The sequence below is a fragment of the Homo sapiens genome, chromosome 11, assembly GCF_000001405.40.
Source record: "Homo sapiens chromosome 11, GRCh38.p14 Primary Assembly".
Taxonomy (NCBI): domain Eukaryota; kingdom Metazoa; phylum Chordata; class Mammalia; order Primates; family Hominidae; genus Homo; species Homo sapiens.
Window position 1 is genome coordinate 64,917,434 of NC_000011.10, and position 20,323 is coordinate 64,937,756.

The 20,323-nt window shown below is 54.3% G+C and overlaps 2 protein-coding genes across 7 annotated transcripts, besides 7 other annotated features; one reads left to right on the forward strand and one right to left on the reverse strand.

Moving 5' to 3' along the window:
• Positions 48-177: an enhancer, noted in NCBI's record as "active region_4934". NCBI's record gives its function as "activates an Ori minimal core promoter by ATAC-STARR-seq in GM12878 lymphoblastoid cells {active_cell/tissue: GM12878}" and the evidence as "EXISTENCE:reporter gene assay evidence [ECO:0000049][PMID:35858748]".
• PPP2R5B (protein phosphatase 2 regulatory subunit B'beta) lies at positions 140-17,042 on the forward strand. Of its 4 annotated transcripts, none has more exons than XM_047427200.1 (15): positions 140-309; positions 835-916; positions 8,415-8,500; positions 9,279-9,475; positions 10,369-10,470; positions 10,633-10,725; positions 10,862-10,992; positions 12,889-12,948; positions 13,048-13,156; positions 14,003-14,056; positions 14,126-14,176; positions 14,316-14,435; positions 15,332-15,459; positions 15,712-15,813; positions 16,264-17,042. In XM_047427200.1, exons 2-15 carry the CDS (start codon positions 891-893, stop codon positions 16,409-16,411), a joined length of 1,407 nt encoding a protein of 468 aa, XP_047283156.1. In that variant the 5' UTR covers positions 140-309; positions 835-890; the 3' UTR covers positions 16,412-17,042. The 4 variants fall into 4 exon arrangements, with proteins under 4 accessions (XP_047283156.1, XP_011543434.1, NP_006235.1 ...); XM_011545132.3 differs by having other exon boundaries at positions 140-207; NM_006244.4 differs by lacking the exons at positions 140-309; positions 835-916 and adding an exon at positions 7,256-7,595 and having other exon boundaries at positions 8,038-8,500.
• Positions 6,217-7,014: an enhancer, noted in NCBI's record as "H3K27ac-H3K4me1 hESC enhancer chr11:64691122-64691919 (GRCh37/hg19 assembly coordinates)". NCBI's record gives its function as "activates a minimal SCP1, AML or CMV promoter by ChIP-STARR-seq in primed H9 embryonic stem cells {active_cell/tissue: H9 hESC(primed)}" and the evidence as "EXISTENCE:reporter gene assay evidence [ECO:0000049][PMID:30033119]".
• Positions 6,635-6,704: an enhancer, noted in NCBI's record as "active region_4935". NCBI's record gives its function as "activates an Ori minimal core promoter by ATAC-STARR-seq in GM12878 lymphoblastoid cells {active_cell/tissue: GM12878}" and the evidence as "EXISTENCE:reporter gene assay evidence [ECO:0000049][PMID:35858748]".
• Positions 6,845-7,014: an enhancer, noted in NCBI's record as "active region_4936". NCBI's record gives its function as "activates an Ori minimal core promoter by ATAC-STARR-seq in GM12878 lymphoblastoid cells {active_cell/tissue: GM12878}" and the evidence as "EXISTENCE:reporter gene assay evidence [ECO:0000049][PMID:35858748]".
• Positions 7,125-7,344: a silencer, noted in NCBI's record as "silent region_3502". NCBI's record gives its function as "represses an Ori minimal core promoter by ATAC-STARR-seq in GM12878 lymphoblastoid cells {active_cell/tissue: GM12878}" and the evidence as "EXISTENCE:reporter gene assay evidence [ECO:0000049][PMID:35858748]".
• Positions 7,445-7,554: a silencer, noted in NCBI's record as "silent region_3503". NCBI's record gives its function as "represses an Ori minimal core promoter by ATAC-STARR-seq in GM12878 lymphoblastoid cells {active_cell/tissue: GM12878}" and the evidence as "EXISTENCE:reporter gene assay evidence [ECO:0000049][PMID:35858748]".
• Positions 9,963-11,162: an enhancer, noted in NCBI's record as "BRD4-independent group 4 enhancer chr11:64694868-64696067 (GRCh37/hg19 assembly coordinates)". NCBI's record gives its function as "activates an origin of replication core promoter dependent on BRD2, P300/CBP, MED14 and CDK7 cofactors, and independent of BRD4, by STARR-seq in HCT116 cells {active_cell/tissue: HCT116}" and the evidence as "EXISTENCE:reporter gene assay evidence [ECO:0000049][PMID:35650434]".
• Positions 17,038-20,275, reverse strand: GPHA2 (glycoprotein hormone subunit alpha 2). 3 transcript variants are annotated; one of them, XM_011544776.3, is made up of 4 exons: positions 20,075-20,275; positions 17,925-18,027; positions 17,558-17,742; positions 17,038-17,441 (listed from the first exon to the last, which is right to left on the reverse strand). In XM_011544776.3, exons 2-4 carry the CDS (start codon positions 18,025-18,027, stop codon positions 17,340-17,342), a joined length of 390 nt encoding a protein of 129 aa, XP_011543078.1. In that variant the 5' UTR covers positions 20,075-20,275; the 3' UTR covers positions 17,038-17,339. The 3 variants fall into 3 exon arrangements, with proteins under 3 accessions (XP_011543078.1, XP_047282447.1, NP_570125.1); XM_047426491.1 differs by lacking the exon at positions 20,075-20,275 and adding an exon at positions 19,800-19,886; NM_130769.4 differs by lacking the exon at positions 20,075-20,275 and adding an exon at positions 18,401-18,460.
• Between the last annotated feature and the right edge of the window lie 48 nt (positions 20,276-20,323).

Consider the following 20,323-nt stretch of genomic DNA (forward strand, 5'->3'; position numbering starts at 1 on the left):
CTTTAACCTCCCCTCTACAGGCTCTGGGAAGGCTGTTGCTCCAGGTGCCGGCCCCTCAAAGGAATGCGCATGTGCTGATTCGTCCAACCACTTTAAGTGGTTGGGGAGGATTTAAAGGGACAGTGTCCCATCAAACTTCGTAGAAGCCTTCCCCAGAGGAGTAAACTCAGTGCGCGATCTTAAGCGCGCATCTGTGGAAACAATTAAGTGAGTAAACATTCGCATTTTGCAAAATCTTTTACCATCCTTTATCTCATTGAGCCCTCTTAATAATCGCTCAAGGTAGGGATTATTGCCACCGCTTTACAGGTAAGAAAACAGATTAAGATACGAGAAAGACCCTGCCTCAAAAACAAACAAAAATAAATAAGGGCTCTGAATCCATCACCAAGGAAGGTCTTTTTTCCCCTCCTCACCCCGGAATGCTCAGAGGGAGATTAACTGACCCTCCCTTCTCTCTGCCGTCGGTCAGGCCTTAGGCACCTCTCTGAAATAATAATAGCTTTTCATATCTCTAGTCCTAAAATCAAAGAATGGATTCTGCCTCCTTTAAGCAGGGGGGCATTGTTTTTGTACGGCCTTTGAGCTAAGTATGGTTTTTATGTCTTTTAAATGGTTAGGGGAAAAATCAAAAGAAGAATGAACTTTTCATGGCATGTGAAAAATCATATGAAATTCACATTCCAGTGTTTATACATAACGTTTTAGTGTCACACAGTCTTGCTCATTTGCTTAAGTTCTGCCCCGGGCTGCTTTCTTGCTACAAGAGCAGAATTCAGTACTTGAGACAGAGGCCTGCAAAGCCTAAAATATTTATTTTCTGGCCCTTCACAGAAAAAGTTTGCCAACCGCTGCTCTGTAGGGGGCAGCCACACAAAACCTCTTACATCATGGGCGACTTCAGGAACAGCCATAGGTAATTATGTTTCTTTTCTTTTCTTTTTGAGACAGACTCTCTCTGTCACCTAGGCTGGAGTGCAGTGGCACAATCTTGGCTCACTGCAACCTCTGCCTCCTGGGTTCAAATGATTCTGCTGCCTTGGCCTCCCAGAGTAGCTGGGATTACAGGCATGCACCACCGCACCCAGCTAATTACCGTGTTGGGCAGGCTGGTCTCGAACTCCTGACCTTAGGTGATCAGCCTGCCTTGGCCTCCCAAAGTGTTGGGATTACAGGCACGAGCCACCGTGCCCGGCCTATGTTTCTATTTTATTTATTTTTTTTGAGACAGAGTCTTGCTCTGTTGCCCAGGCTGGAGTGCAGTGGTGCAGTCTCCTCTCACGCAACCTCTGGCTCCTGGGTTCAAGGAATTCCTGAGTAGCTGGGATTACAGGTGTGAGCTACCCCACCTAGCCTGTGTTTCTATTTTAATCTTACTTGGGAGCTGGACTCTTACATTCTAATGCCAAAACTCAGCCTGAAGCAAGGGCAACCGCCCTGGCCCACCGGGCAGGGACCTGTATTCCAGTCCCACCCATGGGTGGTTTCTTCTCCTCTTGTGACCCTCAGTTTTATCCTATGTAACTGGGGTTGGGTTAGTAAGTGGAGATAGTTCATTACCTGGAAGGAGCAGGCTCCATTCAGGGAGGCAGGCTGATAGGACAGCCATTCAGAAAGTGCTTATGGGCCAGGCACGGTGGCTCATGCCTGTAATCCCAGCACTTTGGGAGGCCAAGGCGGGTGGATCATGAGGTCAGGAAATCGAGACCACCCTGGCTAACACAGTGAAACCCCATCTCTACTAAAAAATATTTAAAAAATTAGCAGAGTGTGATGGCGGGCGCCTGTAGTCCCAGCTACTCGGGAGGCTGAGGCAGGAGAATGGTGTGAACCTGGGAGGCGGAGCTTGTGGTGAGCCAAGTTTGTGCCACTGCACTCCAGCCTGGCTGACAGAGCGAGATTCTGTCTCAAAAAAAAAAAAAGAAGAAACTGCTTGTGGAAGGAATCTAGAGCTCTGCCTTCTTCCATGGCAGGCTGGGGGCAGTACTGTGCTCACCAACTGATTATTACATTAATAATAATATACCGGGTTGGGTTGCTCACTCCTGTAATCCCAGCACTTTGGGAGGCTGAGGCAGAAGGATCGCTTGAGCCCAGGAGTTTGAGACCAGCCTGGGCAACATAGCTGAATCCCTGTGTCTACAAAAAAAAAAAAATGTTTCAAAAAATTAGCCGGGCGTGGTGGTGTGTGCCTTTGGTCATTTGAGCCCAGGAGTTTGAAGTTGCAGTGAAGCTATGAATGCACCACTGCACTCCGGCCTCGGTGACAGACGGAGATCTTGTCTAAAAAAAAAATTAATAGTAAATATAATTGCCACCATGAATTAAGCCTGTGTGATGTCCTAGGCCTTGGGCTTGTTACTTTACGTGCACGATCTCATCTGCTCTGCTGTTCACCATATGCTCATGAGGGAGGTTCTATTAATATCCCCATTCTTAAGGGAGAGGAGACCAAGGCTACGTGCCTAAATGCTGTGGAGCGAATGAATGAAAAAGCATTAAGATTCAGAAATCATAAAAAGAAAAAAGAGGCTTGGAACAGTGGCTTACACGTGTAATCCCAGCATTTTTGGGAGGCTGAGGTGGCCAGAGTCACTTGATCCCGGGGGGCAGAGGTTGCCGTGAGCTGAGATTGCACCACTGCACTCCAGCCTGGGTGACAGAGAAGACTCCACCTCAAAAACAAAAAAAGGAAAGAAAAAAGAAAAAACACCACTTCTCCTCCTTCCAAAGGTGGTGGGGATAGAAGGGGATATTCTCTTGGTCCAAGAAAAGTTATCCTTTCTAGGCCCCTGGAGCCACTCTGGGAGTTTGCTCTCCTCCAGTGAGGGAGACCCCAGGGTCAGGCTGCACTCACATCTGTCTGTTGTAACTGAACTGGTGGGCACATCCGTCTCTTAGGGGTTGGTGCCTGCAGGTCCATTCCTGAGCCCCAGTTCCCAGTGCCATGTGTGTACCACAGCAGAAGATTAGACAGGACTGAGAGGACACAAAGATACTTCCCCAGACAAGCTCTGTAGAAAACCAACTCCAGAGACAGTCATTCTCCAACCTAGCCTCGGAGTAGGAGCTAAAGGAGTGAGCAAAAAATCCTCGCACAGTAAAGGGGACGATATTCTCTTGGGAGGAAATGGGGTGTTGGGAACCCCATGGGACATTCTGCAACGAAGTCCCAAGCCCCACTTTAGGTCCAGCAGTTATTTTTTTTTTTTTTGAGACGGAGTCTCGCTCTGTCTCCCAGCCTGGAGTGCAGTGGCGCGATCTCAGCTTGCTGCAACTTCTGCCTCCTGGGTTCAAGTGATTCTCCTGCCTCAGCTTCCTGAGTAGCTGGAATTACAGGCGTGCACCACCACGCCTGGCTAATTTTTCTGTTTTTAGTAGAGATGGGGTTTCACCGTGTTGGTCAGGTTGGTCTCGAAGTTTTGACCTCATGATCTGCCCGCCTCGGCCTCCCAAAGTGCTGGGATTACAGGTGTGAGCCACTGCGCCCAGCCTTCGGTCCAGCAGTTCTATATATATATATATATGTAATTTTTTTTTTGAGCCAGTACCTCATTCTTGCTCAGGCTGGAGTACAGGGGCATGATCACAGTTCACTGCAACCTCTGCCTCCCGGGCTCAAGCAATCCTCCCACCTCAGCCTCCCCGAGTAGCTGGGACTATAGGCTCGTGCCACCATGCCCAGCTAATTTTTCTATTTTTTGTAGAGATGGAGTTTCACTATGTGGCCCAGGCTGGTCTTGAACTCTTGGGCTCAAGCAATCCACCTGCCTCTGCCTCCCAAAGTGCTGAGATTACAGGCATGAGCCCCTGCACCTGGCCTAGGTCCAGCAGTTCTAACAAATACACTGGCCCTGGGCACTGCATTTAGGGGCTTCTTCTACTGGACAACTGGATTCCAGTCAAGAGGTCAGGGGAAGTTTGGGGTCAGGATTCCTCCCCATAGAGAGAAAATGGGGAGGGCCAGGCTTTGCCCAGGCCGGGGGGCATCCTTCCCACCTTAGATTAGGTGAAAACTCATCAGGCAAACTGTGTGCTTCAGACCTCAGGGGCCCTGAAGGAGTATCTCCCTCCCCCCAGGGATGGCCCACCCTCTGGGGTGAGAAAGGGATCACAGAGGTGGCCCGGGGGCTGCGGCTTTTGACTCTGTCCTGGGTGGAGAGCTTGGGTTTTATCAGAGGGAAGGGCTTTCATGGAGGAAGAGAGGCCATCCCTCAAGGATGGGTGGAGCTGGAGGGAGGAGATCCCAGGCAGCTGGCAGGGAACTGGGTGTCCAGGCCAGAGGAGCTCCTCCAGGTAGCTCAGGGGCAGCCAGGAGAACAGGGGGATCTGGAACACACCTGAAAAAGCAAACTTCATCTATAAATACATGGAACTTCATCTATAAATACAATACTGTTGGATTGTACAACTGAAATTGGTGACTTTTTTTTGTTTTGAACATACATCTTTCGTTGCATATAACACAACGTGATGCATTTCGTTTAAATTGTGGTAAAAGCCACACATGGTGGCTCACACCTGTAGTCCCAGCACTTTGGGAGGCCAAGGCGAGAGGATCACTTGAGTTAGAGACCAGTCTGGGCAACATAGCAAAACCCTGTCTCTACAAAGAATACAAAAAATTAGCCAGGAGTGGTGGCATGCGCCTGAGGTCCCAGTTACTCGGGACTGAGGCTGAGGTGGGAGGATTGCTTGAGCCCAGGAGGCAGAGGTTGCAGTGAGCCAGGATCGCGCCACTGCAAAAAAAAAATAAAAAAATAAAATAAAGCCGGGTGCAATGGCTCACTCCTGTAATCCCAGCATTTAGGAGGCTGAGGCGAATGGATCGCTTGAGCTCAGGAGTTTGAGACCAGCCTGCGCAACATGGCGAAACCCTGTCTCTACCAAAAAAAACAAAAATTAGCCTGGCATGATGGCGTGCATCTGTGGTTCCAGCTACTTGGGAGGCTGAGGCAGGAGGATTGCTTGGGCCTGGGAGGTGGAGGTTGCAGCAGTGAGCTGAGATGGTGCCACTGCACTCAAGCCTGGGTGACAGAGTGAGACTCTGTCTCAAAAAACAAACAAACAAAAAATGTTCAATCTTGCATCCTCCAAGTGACACTGTGCCTATTTTGAGACCCAGTTCAAATGCCACCACTTCAGAAGTCTTTTTTTTCAGCCGGGCACAGTGGCTCACGCCTGTAATCCCAGCACTTTGGGAGGCCGAGGTGGGCGGATCACGAGGTCAGGAGATCGAGACCATCCTGGCTAACACGGTGAAACCCCGTCTCTACTAAAAATACAAAAAAACTAGCTGGGCTTGGTGGTGGGCGCCTGAAGTCCCAGCTATTCGGGAGGCTGAGGCAGGAGAATGGTGTGAACCCAGGAGGCGGAGCTTGCAGTGAGCCGAGTTTGTGCCACTGCACTCCAGCCTGGGCAACAGAGCGAGACTCCATCTCAAAAAAAAAAAAAAGTTTTTTTTTTCTTCCAAGAGTCTTATCCCTCTCCTCTACTCTTCAGTGCCCCATTTCTCAAATGGAACATCTCTGTTTTTTGTTTTGTTTTTGAGACAGGGTCTCTGTCACCCAGGCTGGAATGCGACAGCACAATCACAGCTTACTGCAGCCTCTAACTCCTGGGCTTATGTGATCTTCCCACCTCAGCCTCCCAAAGTATTGAGATTACAGGTATGAGCCATCACACCTGGCCTTAGCACTTCCTTTATATAAAACACCAGTCCTCTGTGGTCAGTCTAGCCTTGAGACCAGGGCACTGGTACCCAGGGGGCTTGTGGAGATGGGCTGTAGCCAGCTGGGAGGTGGAAGCCTGGCCCCTGGCCCCAACTTTTGATGACACGCTGTGTGACACTGGGCAAGGCGCTTCTCCTCTCTAGGCCTTGGGGTCCTTGCCTGGCTGCAGAGGCTCTGTGGGCCTGCCCTCCCTCAGCTTGTTCAGGGATGCAGAAGAGCCTGGGAGGTGGGCAAGGAGGGAGATCATGGATTCCCATTGGACAGACAGGGACACCAAGGGCCGGATGGGCAAGGCCTGCCGGAGGTTCCTGAGCAAGCAGAGCACTTGCTGGGTCTCCAGTGCCGGAGTCCTGGACCCCAGCCTGGTGAACTGCGGCCCTCGGTGCAGGCCTCTGCCTTCTGTTGCTTTGGTAGGCGGACACCTCTTGCGCACCCAGGCTTCCTCTGCAACCGGGAGGATGGCTGGGTGGTTCCGCTGGAGCACTGAGTGGTCACCAAGACCCAAAGCAAGATGGGGCAGACTCTGAAAAGGCCCCTAGTCCCCTCCCCGACCTCATTATCTGGTCTCATCACCCTTTCCTACTGCTCACCATGGACCAGCTGCTCATCCAGGCAACATTTCAGGGTGGAGATTTCACAGCAGTGTAGCGGGATGGAGTTCAGGGCTATAAAGAGTGTTGGGGTCCAGGATCCTAGGACGGGGGCCCAGGACTGCAGGCTGGGAACTTTTGGTTAGCATGCCAAACTCCTGGACTCCCACCTGTGCCTTGCATGCCAGCAGCAGGATTTTGAGCAAGAGACACTGACCCACCCAGCACATCTTAGGGTCCAGGGGGGCTGAAAGGTCCATCCGGGAAGGCCAGGCTGCCTGGGATGAGGTGGCAGCTCAAGGAGAAAACCTCCTCCTCTCGGGCTTTGCCACTCCAAGACTGGCCCTTTAAACTGGAGACCATGATGTCACCATAGACAGCAAGGGACGGGAGGGGGACTGCAGGCCTGAGGATGGACTGCATCTCCCAGCAGGCTTGGGTGCACCACACCCCTCCCAGCAAGCACTGACTCATCGCAGACTTTTAACTAGTCCAGTGCTGGTTTCCAAGGGGTTTCTGAAGTGTCTGGTGGTTCTGGGGTAAGGGTGAGGTTCCTGGGGGGATGGCCTAGGGCATAGAAGGCCCAGGCCAAATCTGTGGGCCTAGCGTAGCTTGCTGCGACTCCTTCCTGTCAGTGTCCTGGCATCACCCTACTTTCCTGGTGCAAACTCCTAAGCCCTCCTCTTTCCCTATGCAGCCTCCCTTCTAGAATCCAGGCTTCCCGCCCCCGGCTAGAGCCCATCCCACTCTGCTCTCTGGCTTCAAAAGCTTCGGCCTTCACCCCCGAGTCTGCCCTCAGGGGTGTCCCCTTTGGTCTGGCAGCTCACTTTAAACGGCGCGGGGACTACATCTCCCAGCGGCCCCGGGCCTTCCTGACGCAGCCCCCCCTTTCAGCCCGCGGGGAGGTGCGGGCCGGGTGGGGGGAGGTGACTTGATGTCATCCTGAGCAGCTGGGCGGCGGGTGCCGGTGCGCACGGAGCCGAGCCGGGGCTCCCGTTGCGCTGCACCGCGTTGGGTCGGAGTCCCAGGACTTCAGCGGAGATCCGCGCGCTGCGACGGCCGGTGCAGAGCCCGCCGAGCGCCCAGTCCCGGCCCGGGGCTGAGTTGGGGGCATGCTCTAGCCGCCCCCCCGGAGCCCGGGAGAGAACCCAGGAGCGCCGCCGCCCAGCCCCAGCGCCCCGAGCGGAACCGCTGCGAAGGGGCCCTGAACGGCCGTCGCCCTCCCTACGGGCAGCCCCCGGGGGTTGGCGACCGAAGTCTAGGTTTTCGAGAAGTGAGTGTCCCCCACCCCATGAGGTTTGGGGGGCCAGGAAGGAGGAGCTGAGGTGGGGGAGGGTGCCAGGTTCTAGGAGCGGGGTGGCATCGGGACAGCACCTCCAGTCTTGGGGTTGTCCCAAGTGGCCGGGATTAGTGGAGCAGCGATGCGTTCCATTCTGAAAGGGGCAGGGATGACGATCGGGGCTCCATTCTGAGTCGGGGCTGGCTTGGGGGATAGGCCCTATTCTGGGAGGGGTTGTTTTGGAGGCTTTCTGTCTGAGAGAAGGGAGGGACATGTCCAGGATGGGAGGGGGCTGCACCCCTATTTTAGGGTCTGGGCAAGGATAGGAGGGAAAAGACCTGGGCACTCCACGCAGCCTCCCGGCTCTCCTGAGGAACTGATGGGCTTTCTCTGTCTCTTTCTTGCTGATCTTTCTGCCTGACTTCGTTTTCAAAAGAGCCAGGGTGGGAACCCTAACTGGACTCTTCGGGACCCCCAGGAAGGATCTGAGGCCTGAGCCATCCTCCTTTCTACCCTGTCTGCCCCCCAGGACTGGGCAGTTGCAGGAGGCCCTGGGGGGGGGCCCAGGACTGTGGTTGTGCCCCCCCCCCAAAGGCCGGACAGGATGGGACCAAGTTAGTCTGTCCAGTCTCACCCAGCACCTCCCAGGCCCAGAGAGAACCCCCGGGGCTCTGAAAGCTTGCCCTGCCGCCTGACCGCCATGGAGACGAAGCTGCCCCCTGCAAGCACCCCCACTAGCCCCTCCTCCCCCGGGCTGTCGCCTGTGCCCCCACCCGACAAGGTGGACGGCTTCTCCCGCCGTTCCCTCCGCAGAGCCCGGCCCCGCCGCTCCCACAGCTCCTCTCAGTTCCGCTATCAGAGCAACCAGCAAGAGCTCACACCGCTGCCCCTGCTCAAAGGTGAGCTGGCTGCTGGCCACTGGGGGAACCGAACCCCCGAGGGGACCAGCAGGGCCATGGGGAGGGGTGGGAGGCAGCGGGCAGCTGCCAAGAGAGAGAGTTTGGATACCCCTCCAGGCTAGGTTCTCCGCCATCAGAACTGACCCCAGCCCTCCAGCCCTCTCTGCTGACACATGGCCTGACTGGCCTGTCATCCTTAGAGGTGGGACATCCGAAGGTGGTGCCACCCTAGGGGCAGACCAAGGCCAAGGGTGGGGCCCATAGCCTGGGTTCCAGGGGGCCACTATCAGCCCAGCCAGCTGCCAGATCCCTGGAGCAGGCGCTTGGCAGGGTTCCCTGGGATCACCACATAGGTCCCTTCCCCAGCCTTGGGCCATAGGGCCAGACTGGCCAAGCCTGAGGACACCGTAGAGATCCTTGGCCCTGAACCCCTCCCCATTTCTGGCCCTTAGAACAGGGTGCCACCTGAGAGGGAGGCAGCAGCTGTTTGGGGCACCTGTGGAAAGCTGCTGCATCCAGGATTTGTGATCTTGCTTTAAAACTCAGGCCATCATACTCTCTGAGCCTGGATTAGGAGGAAGAAAAGCAACCCTCAACCCCCAGGAATGGAGGAAGGGACAGTAGTTGTTTGCTGTCTGCAAGGAGCAGGAGATGGCACAAGAGCATGGGGCCTGGGGGCAGCAGAGGCAGCCGTGGAGATTAGGAGGGTCTGCCCCACCCACAGCTGGGGCAGCTGGGGGAGCTGGGGCCCAGGCCCAGGATGCCCTCTCCTCCCCAGATGTGCCGGCTTCCGAGCTGCACGAGCTGCTGAGCCGGAAGCTGGCCCAGTGTGGGGTGATGTTTGACTTCTTGGACTGTGTGGCCGACCTCAAGGGGAAGGAGGTGAAGCGGGCAGCCCTCAACGAGCTGGTGGAGTGTGTGGGGAGCACCCGGGGTGTCCTCATCGAGCCCGTCTACCCAGACATCATCCGCATGGTGAGCACCTGCCACCCAGGCTCCGAGGGCCGGCCGAGAGGGCGTGTGAGCCCCGTTTCCTGTCCGCAGGACCCCTGCGTGGAGAATAACCCTGTACTCATCGGCTTGGCCTCAGTCCACGTCTTCCTTCCCCCCGACCTGCTGCTGCCCAACACCCACTGAATGCCTCCGGGCCTGCCCCACGTCCACACCTTTGCTTATGCTTGCCTGAGACCTGGAGTGCCCTGCCCCACACCCCATACCATCCATGGCCTGGCTCAGGTGCCGCCTCTGCCAAGAAGCCGCTGTCAATAACCAAGCTGGAAATCTCCCTTTTCCTGCCCGTAGACCTCACAGCTTCTAGCCTTGTTCTCCCCACTGGATTGCACCTGCCTAGAAGGCAGGGATGTGTCCCATTCACCCCTGGGTTCCCAGCCCCTGGCCCAGGGCTTGCACGAACTAGGCGTTCAGGTGATGATTGCCCAAGGAATGAACTGCTTGCTGGGGCAGATGCTGAAATCAACCCATTAGAACTTTGAATGAGGGCCGGGAGCAGCAGCTCTCATCTGTAATCCCAGCACTTTGGGCCAAGGCGAGAGGATCACTTGAGGCAAGGGGTTCAAGACCAGCCTGACAGTGAGACCGCATCACTACAAAAATTTAAAAATTTGCCGGGCATAGTGGTGTGCTACTGTAGTCCAGCTACTCAGAAGGCTGAGGTGGGAGGATCGCTTGAGCCTGCCTGGGAGGTTGAGGTTGCAGTGAGTCGAGATTGTACCACTGCGCTCCAGCTTGGGCAACAGAGCGAGACCCTGTCTTGGGAAAGAAAAAAAAAAAAAAAGCTTTGAATGAGAGACTCCCTGGCTTCTGTCTTCAAGGGCTTTTCCTTAATGAACCCCAACTCTGCCACTCAGATCTCAGTGAATATCTTCCGGACTCTGCCGCCCAGTGAGAACCCTGAATTTGACCCTGAAGAGGATGAGCCCAATCTTGAGCCTTCGTGGCCACACCTGCAGGTCTGAAGGGTTGGGGAAGACAGAGATCCAAGTTTCAGAAGAGATCCAAGGCATGGGGAGAGGGCCTCCTTAGCCCCTAGACAGTTGGATGAGGGCCATAGGGTGGAATGAGTGGGTGAGGCTGTTACTGAACTCACCTTTTTGTCTGTCCCCCTCCCCCAGCTGGTATATGAGTTTTTCCTGCGTTTCTTGGAGAGCCCAGACTTCCAGCCCTCCGTGGCCAAGAGATATGTGGATCAAAAGTTTGTCCTGATGGTGAAGTGGGGAGCCCAGGCTGGGTGGTACCACAAGGCAGGGGCAGGCTCTCTGAGGGGCCAGGGATAGGATGGAAGCAACCTGGGGTGGACCTTTCCCCTGACCCTGACCCTGACCCTGACTCTGGTTCCCACAGCTCCTGGAGCTATTTGATAGTGAGGATCCCCGGGAGCGTGAGTACCTCAAGACCATCCTGCACCGGGTCTATGGCAAGTTCCTGGGTCTCCGGGCCTACATCCGCAAACAGTGCAACCACATCTTCCTCCGGTGAGTGGCTGCTGCCTGCCCAGCAGAGACCTGGGGAGGGTGAGAGGGCTGTTAGAAGACTGCGGCAAAGGCCATGTGCGGTGGCTCACACCTGTAATCCCAGCACTTTGGGAGGCCGAGGTGGGTGGATCACCTAAGGTGAGGAGTTTGAGACCAACCTGGCCAACATGGTGAAACCCCGTCTCTAATAAAAATACAAACATTAGCCAGGCATGGTGGTGGGCACCTGTAATTCCAGCTACTTGGGACGCTGAGACAAGAATTACTTGAACCCAGGTGAAACCCCGTCTCTACTAAAAATACAAAAAATTAGCCGGGCGCGGTGGCGGGCGCCTGTAGTCCCAGCTACTCGGGAGGCTGAGGCAGGAGAATGGCGTGAACCCGGGAAGCGGAGCTTGCAGTGAGCCGAGACTGCGCCACTGCAGTCCGCAGTCCGGCCTGGGCGACAGAGCGAGACGGATGAACCCAGGAGGTGGAGTTTACAGTGAGCCGAGATCATGCCACTGCACTCCAGCCTGGGCAACGGGGAGACTGTGTCTCAAAAAAAAAAAGAAAAGAAAACAAAAAAAAAGAAGACTGCAGCAAAGGCTCCTGGGCTGCAGGGGCCCTTGTAGAACTTCTGTTTTCCAAGCCCTTTCTCAGTAACGTATTACATATTGATTATACAAAGCCTGTGAAGTTGACAGAGAATGGGTATTTATTTCCATTTTACAGATGAGAAAGTAGAGGCCAAGAGAGATGAAATGGTTTGCAGGGACTGGGTCAGTCCAGGGGCCTAGGAGCTAAATCATTTGACCCTTATCATGCCAGGCCATAAGGACCCAGAGAGAGATTCTTTCTGCAAACATGCACTGAGCACCAGCACCCACTGGGCATCAAGGCTCACGTGGCCTTGTAGTTGAGACCATGGCTCTGAAGCTGTATGGCCTACATTTGAGTTTGGTTCCAACGTTTGGGTGAACTTTGGCAAATTACTTAAGCTCTCTCCTAGTTTGCTCGTCTTTAAAATGGGAATGCTGGCTGGGTGCAGTGGCTCATGCCTGTAATCCCAGCACTTTGGGAGTTGGAGGTGGGCAGATCACTTGAGATCAGGAGTTCAAGATCAGCCTGGCCAACGTGGTGAAACTCCGTCTCTACTAAAAATACAAAAATTAGCTGAGTGTGGTGGTAAACACCTGCAATCCCAGCTACTCAGGAGGCTGAGGCAGGAGAATCGCTTGAGCCTGGGAGGTGGAGGTTGCAGTGAGCCAAGATTGCGCCACTGCACTCCTGCCTGGGCGACAGAGCGAGATTCCATCTCAAAGATAAGATAAAAATGGGGATGCTGCTTGTACTAACTCAGGGACCATTATCGAGGTGACATGGGGCCTTGCCTGCAAAGCACTCAGCATAGCTCCTGGACTGAGGCCGGGACTCTGAAACATTAGTTGTTATTAGCTACAAAATGGGTGAGCCATGATCCCTGTCCTCCTGCACCTTGGAGTTCATTAGATTCCCTGCCTATTAACATTGGGGTTGTTTTATTTAACCGCTGAGTCTTGATTTCTTCATCCATGTGATGGATTTCTTAAGCCCCATCTCCCTGGATAATTCTGAGACTTACATGGTACGGAGTAGATGTGCTAAGTGTTTGTCATTCTCTTGGTTGACTGGCAAGAGAGCCTTGAGCTTGGGACTCAGTGGCAGAGGTGGCTGGGCTGAGAAGGGCATTTCAGTGTGGGGGGGCGGGGATCTCAATGGGGCCTGGTTTGGGATGTTGGGAAGGGAGCGCAGCCTCTGGGTTGGGGGAGAGTTGGATGAGCGTGCCGTGCAGGTGAGGGTGGGCAGGCAGGATGCCTAAGGGGGCACTGGGCCTACCCTGCTTGCTTTGAGCCCACCTGCGTTCTTCTCTTGCAGGTTCATCTATGAATTCGAGCACTTCAATGGTGTGGCTGAGCTGCTGGAGATCCTAGGAAGGTGATTCTCCCTGGGCCTCAGCTGGAGCTCAGGATTCTGGAAGGAGGGACTGGGGCCAGGTCACCTGAGCCCTCTTCCTCTCTTCTGCCTCCTCCTCAGCATCATCAATGGCTTTGCGCTGCCCCTGAAGACGGAGCACAAGCAGTTCCTGGTTCGCGTCCTGATCCCCCTGCACTCTGTCAAGTCGCTGTCTGTCTTCCATGCCCAGGTGAGGCCCAGGCCTGTCCCTGCTGCAGCAGGAGCTCCAGACAGTCAGGGCAGCCAGTGGGTCCTGGAGGTCAGATCCTCCAGGGATCCTATCTCACCTTCTTTGTCTTTATAATTCTGTTCCATCTACCTTAGAAAATTCCCACTGGCGCTTTAAGGCTAACCTCAGATATCAGCTCTGTGAAGCCAGGCTTTTCTTCTCTACCCTCCCTTGGCAGAATTACATTCTTCTCCATCTATATTCCCAAATATTTGGATACACAAATCTATTATGGGAGATTTTGATACACAATTTTTTTTTTTGAGACAAAACCGTACTCTGTTGCCTCAGCTGGAGAGCAGTGGTATGAACATGGCTCACTGAAGCCTCTACCTGCTGGGCTCAAGCAGTCCTCCCTTCTCAGCCTCCCGAGTAGCTGGGACCACAGATGTATGTGCCACATGCCTGGCTAATTAAAAAAAATTTTTTTTTTGTAGAGACAGTGTCTTGCTATGTTACCTAGGCTGGTCTCAAACTCCCAGGCTCAAGTGATTCTGCTGCCTCGGCCTCCCAAAGTGCTTGGATTACAGGCGTGAGCCACCACACTAGCCATATTATGGAACCTTTTGCAAAATTTATAAAGATGAGTTTGTTGACTGTCCCCACTCCCCGCGAGATCAGAGTTGTATTCCCAGCACACTGAATGTGATGCCTGGTACATCCTAGGCAGGTGATAAATGCTTGGTGAATAAGAAAGTAACAGGCCGTGGGTGAGCAGTATTTGGCATTCTGTCCTGGACAGCAAGTCCTTGGCGCCTGGTGCCTTCCTGACCTGTCTTCCTTCCCTCCACCTGTCACCCCCTGCAGCTGGCATACTGTGTGGTGCAGTTCCTGGAGAAGGATGCCACTCTGACAGAGCACGTGAGTACCTCTGGGGGCTAAGGCAGCCTCTCACCTCTGCAGGCGTGACTCCTGTCTCATCTCCCACAGGTGATCCGGGGGCTGCTCAAATACTGGCCAAAAACCTGCACCCAGAAGGAGGTATGAAGAAGGGCTTTGATGCCCGCCAGAGGGAGGCTGGGAGGGCTCGGCCTCTAGAAGGCAGTCAGGTGTGTGTATGTGTAGGGGGAGATGTGAGCTGCTGCCCCTCTGTCCCTACTCCCCTCCCCAACCCACCCAGGTGATGTTTCTGGGGGAGATGGAAGAGATTCTTGATGTCATCGAGCCCTCCCAGTTTGTGAAGATCCAGGAGCCCCTTTTTAAGCAGGTGGCTCGCTGTGTTTCCAGCCCCCATTTCCAGGTATGAGGCAGGACAGGCGGGGATGGGAGCAGGGCTGGCCTGGAAAGGTTGGGTAGCTGACCTAATAAAGCTCCCTTTGCCCTCAGTTTCTCCTCCAATCCCGGGTCTGGTAATGGGGAGATGCTGGACTTAGGGTCAGGAGACCTAGGGTGAAGCCTCGGACCTGCCTTCCACTGGCTGAGGGGCCTTGAGCAAATCACTGCACCACTCTGATTCTGATTAAGCTTCCGCAGCTGTAAAATGGGCCAACAACCTCTTCACAGGGTGGGGATAAGGATGGAAGAGATTGTGAGTGTAAACATGTTTGGTAAACTGAAGTGTGATCCAGAATGTGATGGAGGACTGTTATCACTTTTCCCCTTTTGCTAGTGGCCTTAGATTTCATTAGACTCGCTTTGGGATGCAGCCAGGCTTCCCCGCACCAACCCAGCTAACTAACTCATGTTCTGCTGCAAGCATGTGCAGACTTCCTCCCGTTCTTATGGGCCATAACCCAGTGGAAGTCAAGTCTTCCTCACAGTGATTCTGGCACTTCGGTTCATTAAACACCTAAAAGTCTAGTATCTCATTTGATTCTTATAACATCCTGTTGAGATAGGTATTATTAGCCCATTTTACAGATGAGAAAACTGAGGCTGGGAGGTTAAATGCCTCTCCCAAGGTCACATGGCATAGTAGAGTCTGTAGTGGTTAGGATTCACCCCGCAGCATTGGATTCCGTATCTAGAACTCTTTTCCCTTCAACACTGTTGCTTCCTCCAGGGCTCAGATAAGCCCTGAAGGTGGGGTGTGTGAAGGTCAGGGGGCCTGGGCGTTGAGGTAGTGATGGACACCAGACCTTGCACACAGAGAGAAGCCACTGCCAGTTAATCACTCTGCCATCTTGTCTGCCCCAGGTTGCAGAGCGGGCTCTGTATTTCTGGAACAATGAGTATATCCTAAGCCTCATTGAGGACAACTGCCACACTGTGCTGCCTGCTGTGTTTGGGACCCTCTACCAAGTCTCCAAGGAGCACTGGAACCAGTGAGTGCCAGGCCATGACCTAACTCACAGAAACTGGGACCAGGGCCAGCCAGTCCAGACCCGACCCCAGGGTTACTCCTAGCTGGAGAATATCAGAGAAAGCATCAAAAGATGGCCCAGGGGTGGTGAAAAGGACAGGAAAGTGGGCAGTGCTTGTGTTCAGGTGGAATGCTGTATGTGAAGGGCAGGGAAAGGGAGAGGTGGGCAAACCAAAGCTGTTTCATCTCCTCATCCCTCCTTGACACTGCCAAGAACCATCGTATCACTGATCTACAATGTGCTCAAGACCTTCATGGAGATGAATGGGAAGCTGTTTGATGAGCTCACAGCCTCCTACAAGCTGGAAAAGCAGCAGTGAGTGTTGGGGGCTGGGCGTGGGGGAAGGGAGAAGAGCAGGGAGGAGTCAGACCCCCATGGCTGGAGGGAACCCGAGGACTACCCCAAACTCTGTCTGATCAGATGCTGCAAGACTGTCCATGCTCCTGCCATCCTATGCCTGACTGTCTGCCCCTGTATCCTCCCGTCATTCTTCGAGTAGCTCAGACTTGTTCTGACTCCCTGTAGCTTCCTACAGAAGCCAGAACCACTCAGGCCCCACCCGTCATCTTCTCTGTGACTGCAGGCTGGGATCTGTCTGTCCTCTGCTCTCTTCCCTCAGTAGAGGGTTTTTATGGAGTCACAGAACAAAAATGGTTCCATGCCTTCCCTTTGCCGGTGGGGTGGTAGTGAGGGAGTCTGGACTGTGAGGGAGTCTGGACTGTGGGGGGCCCCAGGAAAGGGAGCTGCCTCACCCTCTCTCCCCAGGGAGCAGCAGAAGGCCCAGGAGCGTCAGGAGTTATGGCAAGGTCTGGAGGAGCTGCGGCTACGCCGGCTACAGGGGACCCAGGGGGCCAAGGAGGCCCCCCTCCAGCGGCTTACACCCCAGGTGGCCGCCAGTGGGGGTCAGAGCTAGACAGCACCTCAGAAGGGGAAAAGCTAAACCCAGAGCTGTCAGTCCCTCTATCCCTTCTCCTGTCCAGGGGCCCAGAGAGAAACACACCTACCCCTGGCCTTGCCAGAGTGGCTTCTGAGGACTCCCTGCCCAGCCCAGCTTTCACTGGGGGGAGACGAGGAGAGGCAATGGTGGTCTTGGCAACAGAATGCTCAGCCCCTCGTGGCAGGACTTGACAAGGGCAAGCTTGACCAGGAAGCTGCCATCAGGGATCTTCCCCTGCCCCGCAAAGCTAGGCTCCAGCTGCAGGCGGGCTCCCACCCTCTGCTCCTGGCCTTGGGCAAGGGCACTCAGCGCCTCGCCTGCCCCTGCCTTGGCCAATGCGAGGTCCTTCCTTATCCCCACCATGGGGTCCATGGTCTATTTATTCTCGCCCAGCTCACCCTCTACACAGACACTGTCCTGGGTGCACACTCCTCCCTTCCCTCGCTGTGTACTTCCTTGTCCCCTTTTTATTTATTGGGCAGGGGGAGGGGGAGGGCACAGGCAAGAAGAGATTCACAGTGTCCTGGGGTAAGGGGGGGTTCACAGTAATCATGGTCTACTCCTCTTTCCGTGGCTGGGGGTAGACTTAATAAAGAGAGAAATTCAAGAACTGCTTGCTTTATTTAGGGGTAAGGGCAAAGAGGGAAGTAAAATGATGAAAGATTGGTTTAGAAGGGCCAGGCAGAGGCAGGGAAGAAGCAGAAACTCCCCTCTTCTCAGGTGACAGTCACAAAATCTTACAAAGGATCAAAGCTGGAACAACCCTCCCCTTATTTAAAAAAATTCCATAGCAAGTAACCATCAGGGCTGGAGCTCCTTCCAGTTTTTGAATCTTGAACACAGGTTTCCCCCACCAGAACGTCAAGCCCTGTGACCCAGGGGAGGAAGGAGGGGAGAGGATGGGCTAGTAGCGAGAGAGGCGACACATGTCACACTGGCAGGCCCTGGCCGTGAAGATCTCGAGCTCCTCCCTCCGGCTCCCCACACACTGCAGCTGTACTTTGACCTGCGGGAGAGGGGAGTCCGTGCTGCAGTCCCCTTTCTCAGGGCTGTCTAGGATCTCCATCTCTCTGGTCTTCCCGCGACCCCAGCGTCCATCCACCGGGCCCGGGCCCTCCTCACCTTCTTCAGGCCACTGATGGTGCAGCACTGAGAGACGGAGGTGATGTTGTGTCGGTAACCACTGGCCACCAGCACAGAGTACCGAGAAGGGAAGGCGCTGGACTCACAGTGGCCCACACAGGCCTGTGCCACGTGGGAGCCCTGGCAGGTGCCTTGGCGGTCACTTCGCACTGTCACATTGAAGGCTAGAAGGAGATAGGCAAGCAGTAGACGGCGCCTCTGCCAAGGTTTGCCTCGCCCCAGCTCCCGTTGCCTGTGCCTCAGTGTGGGGCCCTTTAGGGTGCTGCCTGCCCCACCGTCCACTCAGCTCTTTGCTCCCACCCAGAACCTCCACTGCTCCTAGCCCTCCGGTCCCAGAGGTACTCACGGTGCAAGTGGCAGCCTGGGATGACTGCCTCCTGGCCCCAGGCTTCAGTGACTGCCAGGACCAGCAGATAGAGGACCAGGGTTTGAGGGGACGCCATAGGCATCTGAAACACAGTGGGGAGATGTCTCTACGTGGGTGTGCAGGTGGGATGGCGAGTTCTTTAAATACTGCATTCCAGGTGAGTGAGCCAGGGCTGGCTGGTCTGACAGGTGAGGTGTGCCTGAATGGTGCTGCCTTTTCCCTGTATCTGCCTTTGTGTGTGTGTGTGTGTGTGTATGGGTGTGAGTGTGAGCAGCTGTCTCTGGAAAGGACCTGTGTGTCAGCCCTCTGTGCAGTGATTCTCCCTTCCCTGGAATTTTCTTCGCCATCTGGAGCGCAAACATCTTCCTCCCTCCATCTGCCCCATCTTGGCCTGCAGGGCCCTCGTCCACATTCCCAGACCCTCCCCAGAGCTCCTCCTGCCTCAGCGAGCTCACCACTTCCGAGGCCCAGGAACAGAGCGGCTTGCAGTTTTCCTGTGCCTCCTGCTGGTCTCCAGCTTGGTGCTGGCTCTCCAGGCTTTTATTTGCCAGCATTTTGGAGCCACGCCCTCTTGGAGATCGGCTTTCAAACCAGCCTCCCCTGCCTGAAGCCTCAGAGCGATCCCACCTGGGGGATCTTGCTCTTTGAGGTGCGGTCCTCGGAGAGCAGCTCCTGCTGCTTTCTGCTTCTTTCTGTCCAAAAAGCTACCCACAGCCCAGGCCTCGATAAGTCAGATGTGGAGAGAAGCCTAGGAGCTGGTGGAGTGTGCAGCGTGTGTGCAGCTGACGACACAGGGGTCAAGACTCTTGGCTGAGTTGTGGACACCTGGGTTCTCTTTGCTCTGTGACCTTGGACAGAACATTTCCCTGTTCAGGGCCTGATCACCCCTAACTTTATTATTATTTATTACTATTATTTTGAGAGGGTCTGGCTCTGTCACCTAGGCTGGAGTGTGGTGGTGTTATCTCGGCTCACTGCAACCTCCACCTCCCAGCCTCCCAGACTCAAGCCATCCTCCCCCTTAGCCTCCTGAGTAGCTGGGACCACAGGCACACCACTATGACCAGCTAACTTTTGTATTTTTTTGTAGAGACAGGATTTTGCCATGTTGCCCATGGTGGTCTTGAACTGCTAAGCTCAAGTGATCCGCCTGCTTAGGCCTCCCAAAGTGCTAGAATTACAGGCATGAGACACTGTGCCTGGCCACACCCCTAATTTTAAAACCACTAAACTCAGTCCTGCTTGCCTTTTTCTAACTGCAAAGGAAAGGGATTGGGGAAGGAGATTCTTAGGGACAAGGGAAATTATACCAGTGGAGGTCTCCTGAGATGTGCTTGGTGGCAGGGCCGGGGGTTTGGGGGTTGCTGTCTGTTTCAGAGTTGCATGGCCACGGTATCAGTGGATGATTCGCATCCTGTGCTACAGAGTAACGTTCTGAGCTGGAGTGCTCCCCTAGCCCTGGAATAACAGGGACCTGACTCCTGAAAGGGCCTGAAGTTATCAACCCCAGCAAAGCTGATCTATTTGTCCAACTCTGGTTTTATAGATGAGGCAACTAAGGCTCAAAGAAAGAAAGTTACTAAAAGTCACCCAGCTAGTTAATGTTAGGGCTGATTTCAAATTCAAATCTGCTGTCCATCCATGGTGCTAAACTACACTTGAGCAAGAATGTGGCAAGCTGGAGAAAGACCCCCAGGCAGCAGTGGCCAGAGGGGTTGGGGCAAGGTGGAGAGCCAAAGGAAGCCTGTGGTGATTCTGGGCAGCCCCGCTTTGGGGTCATTGCCTCACTGATCTGCTCAGAAAGAGCAGGGCCAGTCACAGACTGCTAGAGCTAGAAGGCACTTTATAACTCACCAAATCCTACCCCCTCATTTTCTGGATGAGAAAATAAGAGCTCAGCGGAAAACAACTTCCCAAAGCTTCACTGTAAGCTAGTCAGAGTCAGGGCGGGCACTCACAGCTCCAGATTTGGAGCTGTGCTTCTTAGCAGCTTTGTAAAACAGGCCATGTTTGGGACAGTCGAGTAAAGGCTGTAAACGCAATTTGAGAGGAAGTGATGTTACTAATGTCACTAATCCTTAAATTCCCACACCCTACGGTTTCCCCATCAGCCCCCATCCCCTCAAGACCTGGGTCCTTGTTTGCCAGGTCCTCCGCAGCAGTCCACCTCTTCTCTTCTCCCCACCAAGGGTGCAGGCAGCATAGCAACAGGACGCAGCGGGAACTCAGCAGTTCAGCCCCTGCTCTCCCACTCTTGAGGGGCACCCTCTGGCATGTGACAGATGATGGCTTCTGTTTAAAGCATTTGGGTGACAAGGCTCATTACCTTATGAGGTAGCCCATTCTAATATTGGACATCTCTAACAGGTAAAAAGTGA

What these genes read in the sequence shown, in the direction of transcription:
- GPHA2 (XM_011544776.3), bottom strand. Translation starts at nt 18,027, where the DNA reads ATGCCTATGGCGTCCCCTCAAACCCTGGTCCTCTATCTGCTGGTCCTG. An exon ending in CCCAGGCTGCCACTTGCACC is followed by an intron (nt 17,743 to 17,924) that starts GTGAGTACCTCT and finishes ATCTCCTTCTAG; the next exon opens with CCTTCAATGTGACAGTGCGA. An exon ending in CCATCAGTGGCCTGAAGAAG is followed by an intron (nt 17,442 to 17,557) that starts GTGAGGAGGGCC and finishes CCTCTCCCGCAG; the next exon opens with GTCAAAGTACAGCTGCAGTG.
- PPP2R5B (XM_047427199.1), top strand. Translation starts at nt 8,302, where the DNA reads ATGGAGACGAAGCTGCCCCCTGCAAGCACCCCCACTAGCCCCTCCTCC. An exon ending in ATCAAAAGTTTGTCCTGATG is followed by an intron (nt 10,726 to 10,861) that starts GTGAAGTGGGGA and finishes TGGTTCCCACAG; the next exon opens with CTCCTGGAGCTATTTGATAG. An exon ending in TTTCCAGCCCCCATTTCCAG is followed by an intron (nt 14,436 to 15,331) that starts GTATGAGGCAGG and finishes TGTCTGCCCCAG; the next exon opens with GTTGCAGAGCGGGCTCTGTA.